This window comes from Homo sapiens, chromosome 4 (genome assembly GCF_000001405.40).
Source record: "Homo sapiens chromosome 4, GRCh38.p14 Primary Assembly".
NCBI classification, from domain to species: domain Eukaryota; kingdom Metazoa; phylum Chordata; class Mammalia; order Primates; family Hominidae; genus Homo; species Homo sapiens.
Window position 1 is genome coordinate 81,029,943 of NC_000004.12, and position 27,685 is coordinate 81,057,627.

General features: G+C 37.8%; 1 protein-coding gene across 2 annotated transcripts, besides 1 other annotated feature; it reads left to right on the plus strand.

The window, feature by feature from the left end:
* The first annotated feature begins 765 nt into the window (after positions 1–765).
* On the plus strand, positions 766–27,685 carry BMP3 (bone morphogenetic protein 3). Of its 2 annotated transcripts, none has more exons than NM_001201.5 (3): positions 766–1,658; positions 15,796–16,706; positions 23,403–27,685. In NM_001201.5, exons 1-3 carry the CDS (start codon positions 1,343–1,345, stop codon positions 23,592–23,594), a joined length of 1,419 nt encoding a protein of 472 aa, NP_001192.4. In that variant the 5' UTR covers positions 766–1,342; the 3' UTR covers positions 23,595–27,685. The 2 variants fall into 2 exon arrangements, with proteins under 2 accessions (NP_001192.4, XP_006714354.1); XM_006714291.4 differs by having other exon boundaries at positions 15,796–16,607.
* Positions 22,336–22,385: a silencer, noted in NCBI's record as "silent region_15523". NCBI's record gives its function as "represses an Ori minimal core promoter by ATAC-STARR-seq in GM12878 lymphoblastoid cells {active_cell/tissue: GM12878}" and the evidence as "EXISTENCE:reporter gene assay evidence [ECO:0000049][PMID:35858748]".

Consider the following 27,685-nt stretch of genomic DNA (forward strand, 5'->3'; position numbering starts at 1 on the left):
TCCATTGTACAGCCATGACAAGAGAGAATTAGGAAGACAAAGCTAGCGACTCTTACATTCTGTTCCGGACTCCGGGATCTTCCACACACCCTTGTTTTTAGCCACCACTGCACCATCCTGCTGGGAAACCTTTTGGGGACCTGTAGGAAGGAAACCTTTGGGGGAAGCTGTAGGTGGGGTTGTGGTGTGTTTGCTTGTTTTCTTATTTGTTTTTAACATGATATTGACTCGCACATATTTCTCACCTCGAGAGAAGATGATGCGGGAGAGAGGGGCGTTATGATGGGTATGCTCTCAGAAAGACAGGAAGCTATGATGACGGGCTGCAGGTGCAGGGGCCCGCAGTGTCCGTCAGAAGAGGCTCGGGAAAGTAAGCGAGAATGGTGTTCACGTTGTGACTTTGTTTGGAATCATAAGACCGAAAAGCCAGGAAGAAGTTCTGTTTTCCTCTGCCCTCTTGCTAGCCACCACACAGCCACTGTTCTTGGAGAATTAAAAAAAAAAACAAACAAAAACAAAACAAAACAAAACAAAAAAACCGTCCCTCCTACCATTTCTTTAGTCCTGAATCTCCTTTTCCCTTCCTCTCCCCAGCCATCCCCACCCCTACTTCCTCTTCTCTCCCTCCCGCTGCCAGTTCTCTGGTTACTCCCCCCCTCCCTTGCTTCTATCCCAGCCTGGTGCAAGCTAAGAGGGCGAGGACGAGGGAGTGGGAGAGATTGGCTGAGGACTCTACAGATCAGCTAGAGAGCGAAAGAACTAAGTCTCTCTCTCTCATACACACACACACACGCACACACGCGCGCGCGCGCGCGCACACACACACACACGTACACTAAAAAACTCGGACCAGCCGCGCCGCAGCTGCTCCAATCCCTGGAAAAGGCAATCGAGCGCCCTCCGGACCGCTGCGCACAGCCCCGGCTCCGACCTGGCGCCCAAAACAGAGCTAGTCCTAGTCCCTCGCGCGGCCAGTTTGGCCGGGTGTTCCCAAAAATAAAGCGAGGAGGGAAGGTACAGACAGATCTTGAAAACACCCGGGCCACACACGCCGCGACCTACAGCTCTTTCTCAGCGTTGGAGTGGAGACGGCGCCCGCAGCGCCCTGCGCGGGTGAGGTCCGCGCAGCTGCTGGGGAAGAGCCCACCTGTCAGGCTGCGCTGGGTCAGCGCAGCAAGTGGGGCTGGCCGCTATCTCGCTGCACCCGGCCGCGTCCCGGGCTCCGTGCGCCCTCGCCCCAGCTGGTTTGGAGTTCAACCCTCGGCTCCGCCGCCGGCTCCTTGCGCCTTCGGAGTGTCCCGCAGCGACGCCGGGAGCCGACGCGCCGCGCGGGTACCTAGCCATGGCTGGGGCGAGCAGGCTGCTCTTTCTGTGGCTGGGCTGCTTCTGCGTGAGCCTGGCGCAGGGAGAGAGACCGAAGCCACCTTTCCCGGAGCTCCGCAAAGCTGTGCCAGGTGACCGCACGGCAGGTGGTGGCCCGGACTCCGAGCTGCAGCCGCAAGACAAGGTCTCTGAACACATGCTGCGGCTCTATGACAGGTACAGCACGGTCCAGGCGGCCCGGACACCGGGCTCCCTGGAGGGAGGCTCGCAGCCCTGGCGCCCTCGGCTCCTGCGCGAAGGCAACACGGTTCGCAGCTTTCGGGCGGCAGCAGCAGGTGAGTGCGCGAGGTGAGACTCCCTTCCCGCGGTCCCGCCCCAGCTTTCTCCCGGGACCCCCCACAGCTTCCTTGTCTGCCCCTTGCTTGGTGGCGCTGCCTAGGGACCTTTCTCCGCCCTCCTCAGCTGCCCTCTGGATTCCTCCGTCCAGTCACACCCCGCGTGTCGCCAGCTGCATCTCCTGTAAGCCCAGTTTTCAAATCCAAAGTGAGAGGGGGAAATAGAATGAAGGCGCGGAGCAGTGGAGGGGTAGGCTGGAGGAGCTTCGTGGAAAAAGGGAAGGGGCGACACCCCATGCCTGTGAGGCCTCCTGCCCTGAGTGACTGGAGCACCTCTAGGGTACCTTATTCTGTTGATTCCTAAATCGGCCAGCGGAAATTCCTTTGGACTGGGCTTTAGCCATGTTTACTAAGAGGCAGATGCCATTTTATGCCAATGCCAGGACCCGAGAGAAATCATACTTGAATAAGACGCCTTCCCCTCTCCTTTTCTCCTTCCCCAGTCGCTTCTCCAGATATTGCACCCGCTCCTAATTCGCGCCCTTTGTGTTACTGTACTATATTTGACACTTTACTTGATAGTTCCTTAGTGGCAAAAAAAAAAAAAAAAAAAAAAAAAACAGGTGCTTGGGTGTTTCGATTATTAAAACGCATCTGGGTAAACAGGGGTTGTACCATCCATCCTGGGAGGAGCTGGGAGACAAGGGGAGGGAGCAACCCTGGATGTAAACACCTCTTGGAATCTGCCCAAGAAAATCTGCTCATCCCATTTTTCAGCACAGATCACTTCGGACTGAAATTCATGGCTTAACAAGGTTTCTCCTAGCCCCTGTGGTGAAGGGAATAACTTATGCTAACAGCCTCCCTCCCTTGTGTTAACAGCTTGAGGGAAAGCTTCCTGGACACTAACTCTGTTTTTATGCTTTGAGGATTCACCAGGCTTTTTTGTTCACTACATTCATGATAAGGGGAAATGTAACTGCAAAGCCTGTCTTCAGTGAACAGTTGAACAATAGCCAAGAATCTTCAAGAAAATGAGGCCATGCCTCAGTCAATACTGTCAGAATCACTAGAAAGAAATCTCCCAAAGTTTTGATATGCAAGACTCCTGGAAAAAGGGAAAACTAAGGCATTCATCAAGGAAAGCCCTGCATTGTCTGTGTAAATATATTCTAGAGCTTACAGGCATGATGACATTTACAATAGATGTGAATTATGCTTCCTAATACAGAAGTCTTTAGCTAGAGACTGAACTGAACCAGATTTTACTTTCTTCTTAAAACCATGAGCATGATCTGTGAGGAGAGCGCCACCAGTAAGGAAAAAGAAACCTGCTCTGTGTTATCCACAGTATCCTAGCCATTGGAGGAGGCTGTCCTGACAGCTGACTACACCAGTGAATACTCTGTTTACTTTAGTGCAACTCTAGGGGCATAACTCAGTGAGTAACTCATGTGGGAGTTGCAAGGATTGAAAGGAAGTTGGGTGAGCTAGGCAGGTGGCAAAAATGAAGGTACTCAAATGACTCTTATCTTGATATTTGTTTTCTTGGTTATATTGCTAGGGAGTAGCTGAGGCCCCTAAGATAAAAAACAATATGTTTGGGATTAACAAGTTTCATTTATAGAATGAACCACATGGTTTGGAGGTAGAATTTGAATTTGTTTCATTCACGTATTGTATAGCTTTTATTTGTTTTAGGCCAAGTTAACCATGGATAAAGATTTTAACAACTCAGGCACCATATTCTTTTTGGCTTCAACTCATTCCTTGCAGTATTCCAGAGTGTGCCTTATCAGCCTCACTGTAGTCTCATAGCATCAAATAATAAACTCTGATATGGAGGCCAGACATTCCCTTGAAACGATGAGTTGCAGCTTGATGCATATATACAAGGCTGTGTGCCCTGATAAGAAAAGTAATCCCTTTAGCATCCTAGAGACTGTCTTAATGACTTATTCATCAAATGTAGACACTGGTTTTTGTGGAAGCTTAAGTGTCATGTTACCTCATTGAGGCTCCTGGTGAGGTGGTTCGTGTTGGGCCCCTTCCAAGAGTGTTTAGTTACTAACACACTAAAAAGACTATTATAAGGCAGTTCTGGCTCTAATAAGGCAGGACTCTAGGAAGGTGCTAAGGTTTTCATGTGTGTCCCTCTCTCGTCATCCATATCAGCATTTCCATAACACCCTTTCACCTTGTGACATATGTTCCCTTGTAGGTGAAAGATGCTGTCTAAATTAATATAGTAGATATGTTTTCCAGTCCAGAGTTTTTAAGTTTTAGAACATATGGGTTTCTCTGTACTGAAGACGTTAGAAATTTTAATGGAAGATCAGGTGGTGTGCTGTGTATGGGGCAGCTGCTGATCCGGCAGCCTCTGAGTGCTTATTCAGGCTGAGTTATAGCTTTAGAGTCCTGTTTGTGCCTTGGTACATACCTGATTAAAATTATTTATTGTTCTAAACCTAGAATATCTTCGATTGAAATTTAGCTGCTGTGGTCTCCCTCTGATTACTTTCTACTTAAACCATTACTTGATGGTGGGTGGCATTCATCCTAAATACACTTTCTGCTAAACCCTTTTCTCCTCCCTGAATGCTATGTAGTTGGTGTGCCAAAACCGTAAGTTTGGAGTGCTTGTAAGTTTTTTTGTCATGTGGAAGGGTTTACATAAAGATAGGTTTTATCTTTCCCTTTGCAAAAGGTAATTCACAAAATCTATTAGTGACAGAGAAGGTCAGCTTCATAAAAATACACCATGTGAAGGAAGACAGAAGGATATGAAATTAGCATTTATTTTGATTTTGGTTTAAGTTGTCTCTGGCTACTATATGATAAAGAAGAATATTTTACATGAATTTTTCTTCTGTCTTGATCTTTTAAGATACTTTAGGATCATCACTTTCTCATGACTCCCATAGTCACTTAATCTTCCTTTTCTTAATGACAAATATAATCTCTTTAGGAAAAACAATTAAAGCACACATGTTGTTAGGAAACTTTCACTATTCATGACATGCACCCACCAAAATAGCACATTTTAGTGAGTACTTATCACCTTTTAAAAAATCTCACATACTTCATAGATTTAAAAAAATAACTGAGGCAATCCAGCCCCACAAGTGAATATTTTCCTGCAATGAGGAAGAGGAGATTCTTTCCTCCTATGACCAAAGTACTTTTAAGATAAGTAATTATAATATTGAAATGTTTCTGAAGTATAAGGCTAAAATATAAGGCTTCGGCAAAGATAGTATATAACTAAGTGTTGAATGATCATCCCAATAGGAGCCATTCCTTCAAAATATATGGAACCAGTGGGAAAACATCATTTTTGATAGGTTTGATGCTAAGGGACTAGAAAAACTATTAAAATGTAGTTACCTTGAAGTGCCTGGCACCTAGAAACTAGGCTTGAAATTTAAAAGTACTTGGATAATCTGATGTTTTCATTTAAAGGACAATAGTACATCTGGGGAAGAGGAGATGGGTGTGCAGCTGCTTTGAATTACACACTACTCTGAATACATGATAGCCTTTAATGAAGTTTTTACTGTAACAAGCAAGACAGCTTCATAATCTCTGACATTTAAAACATCATAATGTCATGAATTCTTCATTATTCATGCTAATGCAAAGGAGAAAGGGAATGAATTACATATAAAAAAATTTAAGTTTAACTTTGTTGTTTAGCTAGAAACACTTGAAGAGACCAAGTGTTTCATTGACCATGGGGGTCAATGAAAAAAAAATCTCCTAAGCAAATAATTCACTCAAGGAATATTTGTACACTAGAAATAGATAAATAATTCAGAATGAATTAGAAGGTTACATACATTTTACCTAAGTAGTGGAAGCTCGTAAGCATTTGATTGAATGAGTTCAGATTTTTCTAAAAATTAAATAGGGACATGAATATCAAATCTGCTTTTAAGCATTTTTGCATCATATAATTTTATATTTGGAAGAAGCATTCAAGAAAACAAGTCCTTCCTTTAATGGAAGCAGAAGCAAGTACTATGATGTATTTGCCAGATAATTTTTCAAACATACTGAGCTCATCTCAAAACCTATTATTTTTAATAGCCAAATCTAATTTTGTAGGAGAACATGTCACAAAAACAGGTCTTTGCAAGATGTTAACAGGTATTATATAAAATTGGGCCTCATGGTCAAACTTGGAAAACGTGATCAATTTTCTTTGCTGTGGGACCTTTCAAGACCTTTAAATGCTAATGAGTCCCCATAAAAGGCGAATACTTTCTCCTGGAGAAAGCATTTTACAGAAATGTCCTTCTAAGATGTCTAGTTGGGAAAACAGTGGTTCAACGGAACACTGTCTCATTTTTCATTTCCCATGCAGTACCTATCTCAGTATGTTAACTTATATTATTACATTTTGGACTTGGGTTCAATTGGCATTGTACCATCTTCCTGCTTTTATGTCATAAACGTCTCTGAATGTAATTTTAGATATCTTCTGTCATTAAATTTTATTTTTTCCTATATCTTTATGAGTTCTCCTTCATTATTTTCATCTATAAGATTAATATTCATTGTTTCACACAGGTATTATGCTTTAAAAAGAAAAGCTAGTTTATTTGTGGAAAAATTCACTAATGATCATATATATCACTTTATTAATGTTTTATCACCATTACTACCTTGATGAAAGACACATTTACTTAAGATGTCAATCAAATTCCTTATATTATAAATCCCCAGTGTTTGTTATATTTAATAGGCATAATAAAAATATCACACCTATCAAAAAACCTTATGAAAATGCTTGAGCAACTTGTTATATATTTTCTTTTGGCTAGTCAGGATTTTTGTGCTTCAGTAACAGAACATCTCTCCCCAAATTTTGATGATTCTCCCATATGCTAAATTTGTATATACTAATAATCAGTTAGTGTCTTAATGTCTTTATTTTGGGGGTAGTAGTGGAAAGACATTTGGCATCACAAATAACCTTAAGTCGGACTTTTCTATGCCATGTTTCAGTTGAGTAAATTTTTATGATTATGTTATGAATCCATGAAAATAGAATTTGTAATAGAAATATTGACTTTATATTAATCAAGTAATACAAGTATACCTGGATCATATCTACTTTTGACAGTAGTGAAAGATGAAATGTAACCCAAAAAGCTTTCATATATGGAATATATGTAACAGCCAATAAAATTACTAGTTTATCTACATGTTAGCAGTGGTTGTGTCTTAGCATGATGGCATATACAGCAGTACTCCTGGATAACACACATTTTAAGGGATGATACTTTAAAGGCATGAATTCCTCTTTGTTTATCTAAAACATCAGCATGTAGATCATAGAATCAAATGACCACGGTGGTTTTATTGACTCTTTCAATGATCTATATTTCTTTAAAAGCCATCTTTTCATGGCTATAGAACCATGGTAAATGCAGTACCTTGATTGTATTTGGGCATACCATGAATATGTGTGTGTGCAAAATGATCTCACTTTATTACTAGCTTCAGTTAGTTCTTTTTACTTTACTAAGGTACTGTTAAATATCTCTTTTATAAAATAATTACATTCAATAAATTTAAAAATATAAGGTTGTTTGTTCAGCCCCCTCATTTTACAGTTAAACCAACTGTCCAACATACTATTATTTGCTTTTCCTTCAAAAACCTTTCTCTTTAGTTGCATGAAATTAATTTAAAGATGAATTAAGGGTAATTGCTGTACTTGGTGTTAAGTGAAATGGTTTTCAAGTAGAGAAAAGATTATTAGTGTTTTGTTTTTTCTATTACCTAAAGCTAAGTGTTAGGTGATCTAACTTCCATGGTTGGCTGAACCGCTAAGAAGTAAAGTCATCTAATATTGCTATTCTCAGTTTCTTCATCTATCAAATGGGTTAAGTTATACCTCCTGTGCCTGTCTCACAGAAAGATGGTGAAACTCAATTGACAAAGTGAATGCAAAGATGCTTTAAAAGTTTTGAAGTCCTATATAAATTAGGTATTCTAACATTCTTAATATTTTGAGATTATTTCCCTCTGGCTTTCCACAAAGCATTAAACATATCTCAAATGTTGATAATATGTACTTGTCTGTAGCACAGATGATGATGTAAAAATAGTTAGTAATCATCTGTGCAATCTATGATATCCCAAACCTATATTCAACAAATGTACTATTTTCTGTCCTGACCATGGTGGCTGAGGGGTGTAGGGTTATGCTTTTTTAGAGAGATTTCTTGAAGTTAATTGTTCTCAAAGTATAGTTCGTGGACTAGCTGCATCAGTATTACTTAGAACCTTGTTAGAAATTCTCTAGCCCATACTAGACCCGCGGAATCAAACTCTGGTGACGGAGCTCAGAAATATGTGTTTTAAAAAGCCATCTACAAGATTCTGATCCATATTTGAGAAACACTGCTCTAAGCTTCTGTCCCTAGAGTTTTGAGTATTTTATATCAAAACCAGCCTCTTAAAATCTAGAATTGATTATCATGTTATTCCTGATCTCATCTGGCCCTTTTAGTGGGCCTATCCATAAACAAATGGTTTATTGACTTATATAATGGTAAGCTTTTTAAAATATATACCTTAGAAGGTATATTACTGCCTTTATGATGGTTTTGCCATAAAGAAGTCTTCAAAATAAGTTAATCAAGACTGCTTACCCTTCACTCATAGCTGCAGAGAGTTTATGATATAATAAATTTGCTAGAAGAAAAATATGGTATGAGCAGGGGCCTACAAAGCAAGTCCCTGGAGGACATGGAGTCTATCTCAATTCATCTTTGTGTTCTGAGGACCTAGCACAGTTTGCCATGTAGTTGACACTCACTAAATACTTCAGTTGAGTTGAGTTACATATTCAGGAGAAAAGATGAGATAGTTCAAAAGCTATCAGCCAGGCAAATATCCTTTAAAAATAAACTTGCCTTGAAGGAATTTCTTATGGGGCATTTTACCATTTATATATTAAATGGCAATACTATTCTACTTCATATACAATGATTATAATAATTCTTTTCTAATGAACTGAAAGGAAATATCATATGGTATTTATACCCAAGAAGGGCTCTTGCTGATTTTGGGAACTTGAAATTACTTGAAAGTTTTTATGCTTTGGTGTTAAGTAGGAAACACTTTTAAATCTGTTAAGTTTAGAGAGTTGTTCATTCAACACACCTAACAAATACCTTTTGGGACTTAAGTGCTCCAGGCTGTGTGAAGTACTAGGAATTCAAAGATCTATAGAACATAGGTCTGCCCTCTCAGCACTCACAGTCTAGGAATGCCTTTGGGCAGAGGCTAAGAGTAGATAAACTGATTAATGAACATTTTACTATTCTAGAAAAACATACATCATATCATCTTTGGCTGTTTTTACTTTGGACATAGAGAATGGTTGTTTTGAGGTCCCATAAAGCACAGTCATTTGACTGGGACTATGAAGGAGAAACACAATTCTATGACTTTGTGTTCTTTGTAGAATTCTTCCTTTTGCCTGTGCCTGAAAGTTAAAGGCAGCACAGGGATGCTGCAATCTTGACTAAGTAATCTGCAGCAAATATTCAGCCAGTGACTGAGGGTGGATGTGTCCCTGTCCTAGGCACCCCTGGCATTTCTAGCAGCTGTATTTTGTTTGAAGAAAGAAGTTGGGGCAGCGGGAGGTGGTTGTTCTTTGTCACATATTTTCTGTATGACTAAAATGTTTTCCCTGCTTCCTGGGGATTTAGCTAATCATCAAGATTTCATTTAGTCTATTTGTTTTAAAATCAGACTTTACATAGAAAGCTTTCCATTGTATGTTCTAATTCCCCTTGCAAACGTTCTGTGTGGGCCAGCACAAAGGTGAACTTCCCCTTACCACTCCCTGGACACAGCCTCAGCTACTCCTGGAGAGGCACTGAAGTGTTGCAATAGCATGGCTGGCCTTAAGTCCCGAAGTCAGAACCCGACTTCCTGAAATGAGTCCTTGGTTTCATCAGGTTCAAGTGCTTTGTTTTTAGATAAAAACAGAAATAAATCTTCTACCTTTATATAATAATCAAACTCCTTTTAAAACGCCTATCTGACTTTCTCTCCAAAGTCAATTGCTAGCTAGCTTGCTAACTCCTAGGGTCCTTCATGTTTGCATTTCTCTAATGAGTAGGTTGAACTAAATTTGCTCATGCATATAAAAAAAGCTTTAGGGTCAAGCCCTGTGTTGGAGGCTGAAGAGTCTGATATAATTTAGAGCCTTGTCTTTAAGGAACTTATGGCCTTAAGAAGGAGCAAAGGTGTAATGAAAATGGTAATAGAGGCAGGATCCTAGCCAAGGAAATGGGTTGTCATGACAAGCTTGCATCCAGGAATGGTATCTCTGCCTTGCCTTAAAAAACAAATCTGGATTATCAAGGAGAAAAATCGTGGGTAGAGACATTGCAGAGAGAAGCAGCAACAGGTGCAAAGTCCCAACAAGTGTGTAAAAGAGAGTATAGCTTGTTCAGAAACTCACCTGACTTCCAACCTCCTTTTCAATTCTCAGGTGTTAAAACTCTAGAAAATTCAAAATATAAGATTATAATGCTAATGGTAAACCCTAACTAGGCTGCAATAAATACATTCCCATGTGCCAGTGCCAGCAAACAGTAAGAAAATAGCACCACCTATTGGTAGTCACATTTTGGCATCAAAATATTTCTTTGGGGAAAGCTAGAAAACAAAGCCGGTTATAGTTACTTGCAAGGGATGAGACGTTCTCTCGTTCACTTTCACACTCTACTCTACCATAAAAACATCCTCCTGTAATAGTCTTGACTTACCTCCAGTTGCCCCAGTCCCACAGATGGATCTCACTAAGTAAAACAGTTTGAAAGTCATGACTTATATTGGCTTGGATTTGGCCTCCATTTAACTATCACCGTTAGACTGCATTCTCATCTTTGACACTGGAAAGAAAAACCCTGATCTCTCCACAGTCCCTTAAATATTGGAAAATAATTCTCATATCATTGCTAAACTTTTTTTTCTCCCTCCAGGCAATGTTTTCTTATTTATTCAACTCAAATCTATGAGATAGTTTCCAGACCCCTCAACATCTGGGTTACTTTCCAAGTTGCTCTCTTCTGCATTAATAAACTGGTTACAATGAGAGCACCCAAAATGAGGCATGCAATTCCAGATATATTTAGATGATCAGTGTAGCATACAATTAATATTTTCTAGTACCGAATACTATCCACAGCCTAAAAACGCATAAGTATTTTTTGTAACCTGAAAAAATCCACCCTTTTTTTTATCATTATTATATCGGTTTGCTCTTATTAATCAGGAAGTACACTTCAGGTTTTTGATTCAATCATTCCCAATAGATAAGTATCTGAATATTTCAGAAGACTAGAAAAGGTGAATATTAAGGTATTTTTTATTTACTGATATTCAAACGTAGATATTTGTGTGCATAGATAAAGCTGTGCTACAACTCATGGGGAAGAGAGAGACAATGCAAATCTTCTGTTCATAAGTATGGAAAGTTACTCACCTTACAAGTTAATATAAAATCTAAAAAGTAAAAGAGCATGAAAGTAATTGAGTAGATATTATCATGCACTGCTATTTGCAGGAAGCCGTTTACCTCACTCTTATTTACTTCTCTATATACATTCACTTGACCCCATGCTGCTCGCTTATTACAATTTTTTTCATCCATTGTAAATGCTCAGCAACTATTTGTTAAGTTGCTTTGGAGAGAAGATCATTAACTTACACAAAAATAAAGTGTTTTAGAATCAGAGAAGGCAAAAATAAAGTATGGGTTAGAAAAGTCAAAGTCAATGAATGCTTTGTGAAATGGCTGATAATTCTAGCTTATTGTTTTGCTTCTTGGTTTTTTTTAAACCCAGGAGGGAGAGGACCTAGAACAGGCAGAGATCCCTAGCCTAGGTGGAAATAACAAGAGCAAACACATCAAGTGTTGGGCATAACATAATGCCTTTGGTTAGCCTTCAGATTGGCCATTCCTTGCTCAACTTGGATGACTTAGACATTCACTAGAACTTCAATTCTATAGAACTACTAGAACTTCAATAACTAAGTTAATTGTAAGTATTTTTATATTTTCTATTTAAAACATTGGCAACATTTCTTTTGCAAAAGCTTCCAGACATACAGCATTGCATACTGCTAGAATGTGTTCCTTCCATCCCCTCACCAAGATTTCTTTCTTCCTTCATCTTTAAAAGTCTGGTCCAAAGATTACTTCCTACCTGTGTGTTTCTTTGCCTCTACCTGGGTAAAGTTAATGGCTCCCAATTCTGCTCCAAGCATAGCTAACACCTTCGGCAGCTTGTATTATCATCATGGCATAGTCTTTTTTTTTTCCTTTCCATTTTGACTACAAAACTAGTGATTATTCTAGACCACAACCATCCAATAGAGATATAAGGGGAGCCACAAATGTTAGTCACATATGTAATTTAAAAATTTTAGTAGCCACATTTCAAAGTGTGAAAAGCAACAAGTGAGATTAATTTTAATAATATATTTAATGCAATATAGTTCAATAAAGTCACTTTAACACACACTGGCTTAATATAAAATGTATTGCTACGATATCTTATATTCATTTTCTTACCAAGTCTTCAAAATTCAGTATGTATTTTATACTTACAGCACATCTCAATTTGAATGTAAGTGGCTACATACTATCATACTGGAAACCACAGTTCTAGTTAGCTAACATTTATTGAATACTTTCTGTGTGCTTTATGTGCCTTCTCTCAATTAATCCTCGCAACAACTCTATAGTTGCTACTACTAGACCCACTTTATAGATAAGCACACCAAAACTTAAAGAGCTTAGGTTATTTGTCTGAGGGCTGCTATTGGTTGTAGTGAAATTGCAACTGGACCAACAGGCTTTGACTTCATAAGAAAGCACTGGTTTAAAATGAGAGCCATTGGAAGAGGCAGTAAGACAGATTCTGAGACTTTTACAAAACGATGTTGTAGATTAGACACAGAGGTAGAGGCTAATTAACAGCAGGTCACAAGGTGACTAGAAGGAAACATGTTTGAAAGAAGAAAATATTTTGAAGCAAAATGTGGGGCAAAGGGCAGGATTGGTTTACCCATTAAGTTACTGCCACTCATATCCCTTGGAGATCATTTATTCCCTGCCAGCATGTTTGTTTGGCAACCATTGGATTGCCACATACCTAGAACAGAGTGGCTTCTCTTCCTTCCACTTTAAACTTCTAGCTACTACACGAAATTTGGGTAAAAGTATATGCTCCGGTGACTGGTATGAATTAAGGCTCAAGTCTCTGAACAGTCCTGATGCCATGGCTTTGTTATAAAGGTCTGTAAAATATTATCCTGGTGTCATGGATTATACAAATGTGCACCAATGGCAGTTTCCTCCTTTTCCTTCACACAGTGTTAAAAATGAATAGAATATGTTTCCCATTGCACTTCCCTTGTGCTTGGGGACTCAATGAACTCATTTTAAGTTTCCACATCTTTATAAAAATGTTTTGTTTTTACTGAAACATGTTTTTGATCAAGAACATAATTTCACGATTGCGTGTGTGTTTCTGAAACAAATATGTATATGAAACAAGTGCATGGAGAAGGGCTTAGGCTCTGGTGACTGATCCCAGGATGGGAGATTCCAGAGTTCTAACCTCAGTCCTGTGGATCTCGGTTTATGAGCTAAAGGAGAGGAATCAAATTCTGCACCTATTAATAAATCTCTCATTCTCTTCTTCTCTCTCATTTCTGGATTTGAAGAATTGGAAGTATGGGTGAACAATTTTAATCATTTTTGTTGCACTATATAGAAAGTTAACTCTTAAATTTATGGAATGTCATAAACTTCAAACAAGCTCCACAACAGCATTCTTTTTTTTTCTTTTTTGACATTTTTGCAGTATGCCTTATTTTTTCAGATGTATTATTTGAATATTGAGATGCGTTGGATCCTGCTTACCCAATGCTTATCAAGCATACTACAATTTTTTTTTTTTTTTGAGACAGCGTCTCACTCTGTTGCCCAGGCTGGTGTGCAGTAGTGTCATCTCGGCTCACTGCAACCTCCACCTCCCAGACTCAAGCGATTCTCCTGCCTCAGCCTCCCGAGTAGCTGGGATTACAGGTGTGTGCCACTACCGCCTTGCTAATTTTTGTATTTTTAGTAGAGACAGGGTTTCACTATGGTGGCCAGGCTGGTCTTGAACTCCTGACCTCAAATGATCCACCTGCCTTGGCCTCCCAAAGTGCTGGCATAACAGTCATGAGCCACTGCACCTGGCCTCATCCTACATTTTTTGAAGTAGGTAGAAGAAGATGTAATCCCTGTAAGACTGTTAATACCAGAACTAATAACAATAATAATTGATATTTAAGAAACACTTCACAGACACTTTATGGACTGCTTTATACATGTCTCATTTAATTCTGATGACATGGGAGGTAGATATTGTCTCATTTTGTGAATGAGAATATTAGCTTGTATAATGTTGTGAAGTTGGTAAGTGGCTGAGCGAGTACTCGAATCAAGGTGAGTGTAATTCCAAACCCTGTGTTTGTAGCCCGTAGGCTATACGTGCCTCAGATAAAAAGCTATTACAATACATTGCCAAATTTGTAGGAATAAGTCTTGACAATCCTCCATAACTCTGAGCTTTCACCCCTTTAAGTTTATTTCTCCGTTAAAATTTTCACACATTTATGGTGCTTCAGTAAAGGAAAGAGCAAAGTAATTAAAATGGCTGATCCTTGCTAACCTTTTTTTGTCTTTTAAAATTATTCCTGTTTATTACTCTCTTTTTATTCCACTTCCAGGAAGCCTCCAAAGCAAGAGACTGCATAATTGTTTTGCTTTGTTTTAATTGAGGTGAAATTCACATAGTATAAATTTAACTAATTTTAAGTAAACAATATAATGACAGTTAATACCCTCACAATGTTGTGCTATCACCAAGTCTATATAGTTCCAAAATATTTCCACAATTTTAAAACAAAACCCTGTAACCATTAAGGAGTTTCTTTTCATTAGCCCCTCCCTTTGGCTTCTGGCAAACACCGATCTGATTCTGTCTCTATGGATTTTACTATTCTGGATATTCCATATAAATGGAATCAAACAATATGTGATCTTCCATGTCTTGCTTTCATTTAGCATAGTTTTTTCAAGGTTCATCCACATTGTAGCATGTGTCAGTACTTCATTCTTTTTCATGGAAGAATAATATTTGATTGTATGGGTATACCACAATTTCTTTATCCATTCATCCATTGGTAGTCATTTGAGCTGTTCTAACTTTTGGCTATTGTGACTAGTGCTGCTATAACCATGTAATTATTTGAGTGCCTGTTTCAATTCTTTGGCGTGTATACATAGGAGAGCAATTGCGGAATCATAATAATTCTATGTTTAACTTTTTGAGGAACTGCCAAAGAGTATTCCACAGCAGGTGAACCATTTTGCATTCCCACCAGCAATTTGAGAGTGTTCCAATTTCTCCACCTTCTCAGTAACCTTCTGGGTTTTTTCGTTTATTTGTTATAGTCATCCTAGTGTGTATCAAGTAGTACTTCACTGTGATTTTGATTGTGTTTCCCTGATGGCTAATGATGTTGAGCATCTTGTCATGTGCTTCTTGGCCATTTATATATCTTCTTTGAAGAAATGTCTATTCAAGGCATTTTCCCATTTTTATTTGGTTTCTTGGTCTGTTTATTGCTGAGTTGTAACTGTTATTTATATGTTCTGGATACTAGATTTATCAAATGTATGATTTGCAATTATTTTATCTTATTATGGAAGTTGTCTTTTCACTTTCTTGACAATGTCTTTTGATATACAAAAGTTTTTAATTTTAATGAAGTCCAGTTTATTTTATAAATTTACCGATTTTATTGATGTATCTACTTTTTCTTTTATTGCTTACACTTATGGTGTCATATCTAAGAATGGCTTCATATCTAAGAAGTCATTGCCAAATTCAAAGTCATGAAGATTTACCCCTAGGTTTCTTTCCAAAAATTTCATGGATTTAGTTCTTATATATAGGTTTCTGATTCATTTTGAGTTAATTGTCATATAGTGAAGTAATGGTCTTGTTTTCTCCTGTTTACTCTCTTTCTTTTTCCTTCCTAGAAACTCTTGAAAGAAAAGGACTGTATATCTTCAATCTGACATCGCTAACCAAGTCTGAAAACATTTTGTCTGCCACACTGTATTTCTGTATTGGAGAGCTAGGAAACATCAGCCTGAGTTGTCCAGTGTCTGGAGGATGCTCCCATCATGCTCAGAGGAAACACATTCAGATTGATCTTTCTGCATGGACCCTCAAATTCAGCAGAAACCAAAGTCAACTCCTTGGCCATCTGTCAGTGGATATGGCCAAATCTCATCGAGATATTATGTCCTGGCTGTCTAAAGATATCACTCAACTCTTGAGGAAGGCCAAAGAAAATGAAGAGTTCCTCATAGGATTTAACATTACGTCCAAGGGACGCCAGCTGCCAAAGAGGAGGTTACCTTTTCCAGAGCCTTATATCTTGGTATATGCCAATGATGCCGCCATTTCTGAGCCAGAAAGTGTGGTATCAAGCTTACAGGGACACCGGAATTTTCCCACTGGAACTGTTCCCAAATGGGATAGCCACATCAGAGCTGCCCTTTCCATTGAGCGGAGGAAGAAGCGCTCTACTGGGGTCTTGCTGCCTCTGCAGAACAACGAGCTTCCTGGGGCAGAATACCAGTATAAAAAGGATGAGGTGTGGGAGGAGAGAAAGCCTTACAAGACCCTTCAGGCTCAGGCCCCTGAAAAGAGTAAGAATAAAAAGAAACAGAGAAAGGGGCCTCATCGGAAGAGCCAGACGCTCCAATTTGATGAGCAGACCCTGAAAAAGGCAAGGAGAAAGCAGTGGATTGAACCTCGGAATTGCGCCAGGAGATACCTCAAGGTAGACTTTGCAGATATTGGCTGGAGTGAATGGATTATCTCCCCCAAGTCCTTTGATGCCTATTATTGCTCTGGAGCATGCCAGTTCCCCATGCCAAAGGTAGCCATTGTTCTCTGTCCTGTACTTACTTCCTATTTCCATTAGTAGAAAGACACATTGACTAAGTTAGTGTGCATATAGGGGGTTTGTGTAAGTGTTTGTGTTTCCATTTGCAAAATCCATTGGGACCCTTATTTACTACATTCTAAACCATAATAGGTAATATGGTTATTCTTGGTTTCTCTTTAATGGTTGTTAAAGTCATATGAAGTCAGTATTGGTATAAAGAAGGATATGAGAAAAAAACATGTGTGAAACATACTTGTTGTGTTGCTTCTCAACATGGTGCATATTCAGCCACATGGTTGTGTGTGAACCTGCACCTGTCCATGTAAGCAAGCCCCAAATGGTAGAAGGCTGACCTTGGAAGAGTATTCAAGGAATAAGTGAATGTCATGGGAGCACAGAGAAGAGCTGATGGGATTGATGCCCTAATGCAGAACATGTTTTAATAAATACCCTCTTGTGAGCTAAGTTGTCCCCACAGAGGTCAGGATCAGGATTGACTCAGGTAAACTGGCCTCATGAAATCCACTACGTGCTTATTTCATTTGCTTCATTGCTAAACATCAGAAAAGGAAAGCAACATAGAATATGATGACTCTGTAAACTTTTGCCAAGACTAATTTCAACCTTTCGGAGCTTACCTGTATCTCCTCGAAAATCCATAAGGTCTGAACTTCATCATATCAGTTCTCAGTCTCCTGACAAATATATTTGCAGAAGTCTCTCCAACCCCCACCTCCAACTTGCACGGCAAGTTCAAGTGACTGTTCTCTTTGAATTTACAGTTTAAGTAGTACCCTCTATAGTAAAATATAGTGGCACTCTTCAGCCTTCAGTTAAGCTTATTGGTGCACTTCCATTCTCAGCTTGTAGCAGTTTATATCTCTGTTATACCAAAAAAAAAAAAAGTTGCTGAAGGAACAGAATTCAGAGGAAGAATACAGTTTTTTCTTTCAAAATTTGAAACAAGTCCATTTTTGCTATTGTATGATAATGAAGAAAAAATCCTTTGTCTCAACAAATGACCAACTTCTGCTTATGCATCTCTAAAATAGCGTTTTCATGTTCTAGCCAAGTGTAGCACTTGGTTATAATCATTGGGATGACAAGCATAACAAACATAAATGCAAAGGGCTTTAGTCTGGCACAGTGGCATGCCCCTGTAGTTCCAGCTACTCTGGAGGCTGAGGCAGGAGGATCACTTGAGTCCAAGAGTTGGAGTAAGCTCTGATTGCACTACTGCACTCCAGCCTGGGTGACAGAGTGAGACAGCGAGACCCTGACTCTGAAGAGAAAAAAAAAAAAAAAAAAAAAGCAAAGGGCTGACAGCACAAGGCTGGGTTAGCCTTTTCAGGGCCACAAACTTGATTGAAATTTTATTTTCTTGTAATAATACTTCTCTAAGACCCCTTCTTTCCCAAGGATTTTTGATCATTTTATGTTTCATAAACCCAAACACAAAGTACGAATTCTATACACTTGCAATTATATAAAGAGCCTTATCTTGTCTAAATATTCATAAAGGATATTTTACTGATCAAACAAAGTTGTTCAAATGAGATAACATGAAAAAACACACACACAACAAAGATGACAAATGTAACAAGCAGTGATGAGTCTTTATTTTACAGTGTGGCTTGCCTTGTGGCATTGAGAGGCAAGAATGGTTTCAATATCTGTCTTTAAACCCAGGATGACTGACTTTAGTTGGGTCTCGAAGTTTTCCAAATAATCCCTCTCACTTATAAAGGGTAATATATTCTGGGTAGCCTGGGGAAGTAGTTTTTCCCTTTTCTCCTGACTACAATCTTCAGGACTCAGGAAGCCATGATAATGCAGAGATACTCTGTTAGTTTGCTTTTGAACCTCTAGCTCTGGAGAATTGATTTGGTATCCACCCCACCACAATTACTTCCAATTTGTCCCTCTCATTTATTGGTTCTACCTGCTTTTACTGTTCCGAAACCTGCTGTTACTTCAGAAGAGCTCCATCATGTTTCTCAGTGATCTAAAGAATAATAATTTAAGAATTGATGAGGAATAAGGTAAAAATAGCAGAAATAAATTTAAGGAGAGAAGTATGTTAGTGCAGAAGAATAATTAAATGTACACGCTTGGTCATAGCAGGGCATCTTAAACCTTAATGTCCTGGCAAATTGCCCTGGATTTAGTTAATATGTAGGTTCTGATCCAGTGGATATAGGAGTAGAGCCTAAGATTCTGCATATCTAACAAGTTCCTAGGTGATGCAGATGCTGCTGATTCACAAATTGCACTTTGAGTAGCAAAAATAAAAGTCAAATCCTTTTAACTTGAATCTTGATTCTACCACTTACCTGCTATGACTCTTTGGAGAAGTTATTCAGACTCTCTACAAGTTATTTTTACAGTCTGAAATGGGTCAAATAGTAAATAGTAAAAATAATAGTTTCTATATAACAAAAACAGTGGAAAAATGAGACAGTAGAGCACCTTGCACATAGTAGGTTATCAATAAATACCTGTTATTGGCATTATTATTCACGGCCATTTCTGAGACTGAGGAGAAAGAAAAGCAAACGTAGGACTCTGAAGAAAGACTACATAGGAAACGAGATCAAGAGAATAAAAGTTGTAAGGCAGGAAAATGTTTTCTAAATGTTTCTAGTCCCTTTTCAAACATCACAAAGCTGAAAATAGGTTTCTCCCTTTGCATTCAACCGCCCGTGAGCTCTTCCAGGGAGGTTTATTTGGAGAGTAAGAGAATCAGGAGAGCATCAGTTGCAGCAACTGAACTCATCATAATATTTGTCAAAACTTGGAAGGGCATCAGAACTCCAGGGAGACATAACAGGGATAAGTGTGGAGCTTTCTCTCTGAGCTTCAGATTTCCTTTTGCCAAGTTGAGAGTGGAAGTTTGGCTGTTACATAGAGTTCTCAATCTCTCATCACCTTGTGTGTATCTGTTTAACTTTTAAAGCTTTCTAGTGGTTCCCTTTAAGCCTTCCACGCCTTGTGTCTTTCAAGTGGTACGGTGACCAAAAAGATGGGAAACATGCAGCCAAATGAAGCTGCTACATTAGGGGTAATTAATAAACATCCCTGTTATCTGCACCGTGTCCAATACTGCAACCAGAGTGAACTTTGTAAATAAAAATATAGTCTAAGCAACAGAGGAGAATCAAGGCCACTGGTCAGATCAGTACAAAACATGTGGAATAACTGAGGTGCCAAAGACCTTTCAGACTTTAGATATAGTTTTTGCCCCAGAGAAAGTTCCCCCAGGCTAGACTGCTTTGTTGGCCCTCCTTTCTTTTGGCCTCCTGAGCCAAAGAGTGTTCTATATGGCAGGGCTTTTTGTCTGCAAAAGTTGACAACCTGTTCTCTAATTCAGAACAGCTGTGTTCTTTCTGCCTTTCCCAAATTCCAGGCTTTGCCCTTTCACTGATTCCAATTAGATAGTTTCTGGGCTATCACACCCATGTGGGCTGGACTGGAAGAATTGTGGAGTAAAACTCCATGGCCCAGGTCAGGAATGAAGGCTCTTAGCTGATGACATGCTCTCCCCTGCTAATGCATTTGTAATCAAATTCAACTCGAGGACATCATACACGGCTTGGCAGGTGCAGGCCTGACCATTGTAGATTTCATTCACAGACACGGCAGTTTGGATTTTTCTGATTTCTAGCCCTTACAGCCAATCTGTTCTCCCAGAGAGAGATTCTTGGAATTCTGCCATGAGATGAAAAATACCCATACAGTTAATGCCAAGTTCTATACCTTTGCCTCTCCTCATCACCTTAGAAGAGATGGAAAACAGAAATTTCAAATGAAAGTGATTGAGCTGTTGTCACTGACAAAGATCCAAGAGAAGTTAGTTTTGCTTTTTTTTTTTCAAGGAATTTTGCAAAAGCTATAAATAGCAAACACATAGAATTAGGCAGCAAAGAATCTAAACACTTTGAACCAAGTATTCCATACAAAGAAGAAATTCACATTTAATGCGTTCAAAATGATACAACCTCAATTAATTTCCTGAATCTTCCAATTCTAATCTCTGGTCATAAAAATGAACTCCAAAAACATTAAATCTTGATGTGCTAAGTTACTTAAGCAAAAAATTACCTAACTGCTATTGAAGTCGTGCTTCACCCTCATTAGAAAGAGCTGGTAAGGCAAATACCACAGATATGCATTAGTAATTGATATATTAATTTTTTAACTTGTTTAATAAAGAGTCATGAGAAACATGACCTGAACTCAGAAACAAACAGAAATTCCGGACTGGCAATATGCTTTACACCAGCAAATTACCGGATGGATCTTTTGTGCACGATGTAATTATTTCTGTTAATGGCAGGTTGATCAGAGGATTTCATAGTGAGAAAAAAAAAAGCAGGGGAAACTTCCTAGTAATCTGAGAGGTTCCTGATAAGATACACCAATGCAGAATCAGGGGCTTCTGTCCAAATTCCAGTGAGCCCACTAGAGACTACTCATATACTCATAGTTTCTGAATCTATCATTTGTTACTTGAAGCTGTAAAAAAAAGGACAGGAATTTTCCTAGGAAACACCCATGAATATTATCCATATCTACACCAGGTCATTTGCACAGAAACTTGTATTTGTGTTGATAGGAACTATTTCCACAGAAATGGATAAAAATGGAGGGTATGTTGTTTCTTTTAAGTATTTCATCCATTTAACAAGCATTTGTTCCATGCCTAGATTATACTAGGTGCTCAGGAACAGCAATGCACAGGAGAATTTAGCACCCAAGGTCTCATCTAATTAAGTTGATCCACTTTGTATAAAATTCAAATATTATAGGAGTCATTAAACATTAAAATAACAGAATAATTTTGGAAAATCTAGTTTAAAAGTTTTCGCTTTATGACAAGCTATTTAGATTATTGAGTCATAAAAATAACTTTAAATCAGTAGAGAAAAGTGGATGGCTGCAAAAGCTTTCTTTAGAAATTACCAATAGCAATAACAAGCAATGGCTACTGACATTTGTTGTACAATACTGATTGTAGTTTGTGTAAGTTACACAGATATTATTGGTGATGCAGGGCATACAATGTGCAAAATAAAACAGCATGGACTTCCTCTCCTCAAGGGAGGAATAACTTGCTTTGTAATGAATTAAAGCTAATTAATTCAAAGTTAACCAGTCTTTTTAACATATACTGAAAATCTCTAGGAAAAAAAAGTAAGAACAGTTGCCCATCATTAAGTCTAATTATTTAGTTACTTATGCCTAATCACAATAAAGTTGAAGTCTGATGTATGGATTTTATTTCATTGATATTAAAAGATGGGATGAGATTTAACCTTTCTCTGCCAAAAATAATCCTTTTTTTCTTTTTTTTTTTAAGAGTATGCCTGCTTTCTATATTATTGTCTTCTCCCTTGGTTTGTATATACCCTTAAAGTTTTAACTTGTTCCAGTTTCCCATGCTGGGAGCTTTAGGAGTTTGAAATTAAAATACCAATCCACTGGGGCGGGGTTCCTCTGAGCCATGAGAAACATGGCTCAAAGTTCTGAAATTAAAAAGCGAAAGTTTTGGTCAAAGTCCTACTCCTGAATTGGTCTCTGGCAAGTTACCAAACTTCTGTTTCTCAATGTGTTTAAAACAAAACTACTTTCACCTGCCTAAAAGAGGAATCGAGAAACACAGGTGTTGCACAGTGGGGCATCTCTTAGGAAGTTCTTACCACTCTGGCAATACCTAACATTCTGGACTTGCAAAAATGACTGTTCCTTTAGTACTTTTAGCTAGAGCAGAGCTGTATGGGGTTCTCTAAATAAAACCACATGCTTCACATGAATGTTAGTGGTCCCATTTGGCATTTTCTCAGGGAAAAGATTCTTACTCAGGCTTCTTTGGTGAAAGTTCTGGTATCCATAGGATAACTTTAGGCCCTCATAATTCCCAGAGGGAATTCCCAGAGGACGTGGCCCACTCTTAGAACACAACTCCATGCCTAATTCTAAACCAGTGGAGCAACAGTGACCCCCAGTGGCCAATGGTGTGGTCTTCTTACCCCCCAGTTTGTACTTCTAAGGAGAGTTGAATAATTACATAGTGGAATAGTAACCATCCAATCCATCTTGGCAACTATTAAATTAAATAAATCAATACCCCTCTGACCTGCTTGGTTTTATTTTAACAACAATGCCTAAATATCAATATAGCAGTGGCAATAATGTATCTCTGTTAAATAGAGTGCTTGTTAGGATTTTGATTAATGTAGGGTCAATAACGAATCATTTTTTGTTTCAATCCTGTTATTGAAAACACCGTAGAGTGTATTAATTCCATGTTTGGGGGCTAAGTTGTTTGTAATTAAATGATTCTTGCTGAGATAACTTGGTTTAAATCCTCTACCATTTACAAGCTATTTGAACTTAGATAAGTCGTTTAAGCTTTTTGAGCCTTTGTAAAATGTAAGAAATGTTAGCTTTGTTGTGAGAATTAGAGATACTACATATAATATGCCTGGAATGCAGCAGGCACTTAATAAATAATAACCATTTTGGTAGTGGTGGGATAGGCGATTGGGCTTAATGTATAATGATGCCAGAGGTTTTATTAAATTGTTGAAACAAATTCATTAGATAAGCATTTTGTGTAATGAGGACTGAGGAGTGGAAACGCAGTTCCACCTAACATATGTGTTCTTCTTTCATTTCTTTCTCTAGTCTTTGAAGCCATCAAATCATGCTACCATCCAGAGTATAGTGAGAGCTGTGGGGGTCGTTCCTGGGATTCCTGAGCCTTGCTGTGTACCAGAAAAGATGTCCTCACTCAGTATTTTATTCTTTGATGAAAATAAGAATGTAGTGCTTAAAGTATACCCTAACATGACAGTAGAGTCTTGCGCTTGCAGATAACCTGGCAAAGAACTCATTTGAATGCTTAATTCAATCATTAGTTTATTTTTATGGACTTCTTCCTGTTTTTTTTTTTTTTTTTTTTGCACTGCCAATGCATTTTGTTTCAAAAGATTATTTCTATAGTCAGAGGGGAATGAGCAAATAGACTGAAGATTGCCACCAAGGAAAAGAACTGTATTTGTTTCTGAATGTAACTTAAAGCAAGATTTTTAGTAAATATGGACATCTATTTCTCTTTTTGTAATCAAACACAACAACTTATCAAACTGTTTTTAGAACTGTTAGAGAACACACTGGTTTATTTTTGTAATGTTCTTTGAAAACAGAATGGAGAAGCAGCAATAGCTTGTCATTTATCTCATTTAATGACTAATGGGAAATAGAGAACAATTTCGCGTTTTGAATTAGGCTTATTGCCTTAGAATCCTGAGAAAGTGCTAAATAATCAACTCTGATGTTTTTCTTAAGTTCTTGAGACTCTTGTTTATCCTTGTTTTTCCTCCACAAGTCATTGTCTAAGTGTAATGGAAAGTTTATGCTGAGCGTTAGTGTGTATGTATGTGCGTACATGCGCCAGGTGCCTGTGCCCTCTGTAGGATGGTTTGCTTAATATGGTTTTATAATTCAGTTTACACAGGATTCTTTATTTTTTTTAATTTTGTATTTTGGCAAACACCATTCAGTTATAAGAACTTTGCCAAATATGATAGAATAATTCAAGAGCATATACAGAGAGTTACCACTTGACCCAGCTATTTAATTGCAAATACAGTTGTTTTCATTTCATTTCCTACCAGAAAAAGGAATCAGAAACCTAGTTTTTGAAAACACAAGTGTAATTCCTCTTTTGTACTTCTTTTTCACAAATGCTTTTATTTATTCTAAATTGAATTTAAAAATCCTTCCTAAAGCCATTAACTCTTTAATTCTCCTGATATGCCTTTACTTCCTATGAAGTTATTGGTAGATGTTGAGGCCCAAAAACTGGTAGAATATTGAAGATCTTCTTAAATGACCAATTTAACCATAACCAAATATTGAATATCATTCTTCAGTCACATCTAAGTCAGGCACTTTTTCACATAGATCAGGGCTTTTGGCTCAGTCACGAAATCTACAAGTTAGCAAAGCTTACAAAACATTATTCGTCAGGTATGGGAATCAAATATAGACACTTGTTTGTCTTTGCTTTCCATTTCTATGTGTCACATACATATATGTGTCCTCTTATAACTTTAGTCTTCAAAATTATTTCAATATCCTTCTTCTCACTATATTTATTTGTGTGATGGAAATGCTTTCAGGCCGTAGATCATTGTTGGTGTTAATCTGTGGTTAATCCTCATTTTAGTTCCGTCTTATCTGATACTTAGAAATATCTCAGCCATTTTGGAGGCTGTGCAGTATCAGAAGACGTGGAGTTTGTTCTGTCTCTGCCTGTAGCTAATTATGGTGGTTCAGTCATTTAATAAATATGTTTTGAGCATCTATTTTGTGAAAGGCACTGTGTTACCTGTGTGTCTTTAGTGTCCTCACTGGTAAAATGAAGAGGCTGGCCATGAGCTGGAAGGGTTAAGTTTATAATTCCAGCTATTTCACACCCGTCTTCCTTGAAGGAATGATAGTGATAGATATAAAAACACTGTAAGTCCCTCTTTTAATAAACTAAATGAAAGAACATCCTATACTTCGCTGTTTGTAAATTAGTATGGCATTCGCTTTGGTTTAAGTGGTATTTTATTGCAAACCCATTAAAAGAATAACTCATGAAAAGAAGCTCTTTGACACCTTGGGGTACACAAATGTTGGTGTGGGTGTGTGTTAATTCTGTGAGTGAGACACACCAGTTCTAAAAAAAATGAGTGAAGTTCTGGTGCCTGAGTTACCATGCTTTCTTCTAGTTCTTACAGTAGCATAAAATTAAAGATTCAAAGTGAGATGGAGGATAAAATTACTTTTTAATACATGTTCTCAAACATTTGAAAATAAAAGTATATGATAGAAGGGGGCCAGAGTGTGGCCACCATCCTGATCGTACTGTTTTTCAATAAAGAAAACTTTTTCATTGGTAGATTTGGTGAAATTCTAAATTTAGGTTTTTTTCTAGAGCTGTATCAACCAAAACTTCTGGCAATTCCCAGTATCACTTCTTAGCCTTCTTATATCCAAATGCCTGTTTATTACCTTTCTTAATTTGAATCAATGCCTAGTTATTACAGATTGCACCCCACAATGGCCAAAAACCCACTACATAATAAAATTTACAGGTACTAACTAGTTAAGATTATATTTTAAGTAGCAATTGATATAAAATTACAACACAATGAAAGAACTTGGGTAATCTCTTAGCAATGGAAATAGGTTTTAACCAGCAGTTTTTCTGGGTGCTTTGTAACTATCATTTTACTAATGAATTGAGGATGTATTATGGTTTAAATTGGAAGAGTTTTATTCCCAAAGAATAAAGCAAGATTATCTTTCAGTAGTAGAGATTGAAGTAAATGTATTAATATTTTAATTAATACAGATTTACTAAGAGTAGTTAGAAAATTTAGTAAGTGCCTGTTTTACAAATTGTTAGGTACTAGTTTCTGTATAATTCCTACACAGAAGCTTTAGAAATCTCCTGATATTAAATTATTAAATTGGCATTCATGAAAAGAGAAGCTACAATTATAAACTCCATTTGCTAAATCATGCATAATACTCTCTCTCTCTCTTCCCCCACAAGTAATCTCTCTACCCCATGCAGTGTGCACACACACACACACACAGTCAGTTACTGAAAAAAATAATTCTTTTTCTTTTTTTTTTTAAATGGAGTTTCACTCTTGTCGCCCAGGCTGGAGTGCAGTGGCGTGATCTCGGCCCACTGCAACCTCCACCTCCCAGGTTCAAGCAGTTCTCCTGCCTCAGCCTCCTGAGTAGCTGGGATTACAGGTGTCCGCCACCATGCCTGGCTAATTTTTTTATTTGATAAAAAGAATTCTTTTTCTCAATAACTGTTCTCTTGAATTCAAATTAAGGGACTGCCAAAGTCAATTAGAATATTTTAAAAATACTTTGTTGTAACCTGTGTAAATAATATACAATTTACAGGATTTGGGATTGTAGAACTTAAACTGGAAGACTGGATTCCTCAGATCTCAGGACTATAACATTCCAGATAAATTTTTACATTCCCTTTGCTGTATATTAACTGATGATCATTTATATGTTAAGATTTTTTACCTTAATATTTCTGAATAAAACTCTTATTGCCCATTTAATATTTTCATAGGCAATCAAATGTGAGTAATACTGCTAAGAGTCTGATTTATTAAAAATATTTGTATAATTCATTCAGTTTAGTTTTTCAGTTTAGTCTTTCTGCTTTCACTTTTCTCTGTGCTAACAAGTAACTAATGTCTGGGCATTGACTTCTTATTGAATCAAAGTTGGGTTAGGCATAGCTATGCACACCTGATGTGTAAGATTAAAGAAGAGATTAAATAAGAAATCTTGGGTAAGTTGGACTTTTCTGTATAGCTCTTTTTTCCTCTGAGTTGTATTTTAATGTAGTTTATAAGTGATAAAATGATCCTTGTTTTCTAAAAGCCAGTCCTTCCCTTCAGCTTTCCACAGTTTCTGTAAATGTTTAATACTTGTACAGTCAATGGCAATTTTAAATATATATATATATATAATATATGTATATGGAAAAGGTTCAAAGATGCTTTTAATTTATTTAATGACTATTGCCTTCCTATAATAATAATTTTCATCCTTAATTATGATAATACTTTTAGCAAGAAAAATTCCTTTTTACTACAGTTTTTAGATGCAAAATGCAGTTTGGTTCTTTAGTCAAATCCACTTAGAGGGTATATTGCAGTGAAACTGTGAAGGATACTTCACTACCAATGTATAAGCTTTGTTGAATTTGTATCATTTTCTTTCAGTAATGAAAAGCTATTCATTATACAGTATGGAAATAAAAATTGCTTCATTGACCATTCATTTTTACTTATTGGGAAATACTATATTTCCAGACATTTTCAAGTGTGCTGCATTTAAAAGAGGTAATAAAGCTTAAGCATAGAGTTGAA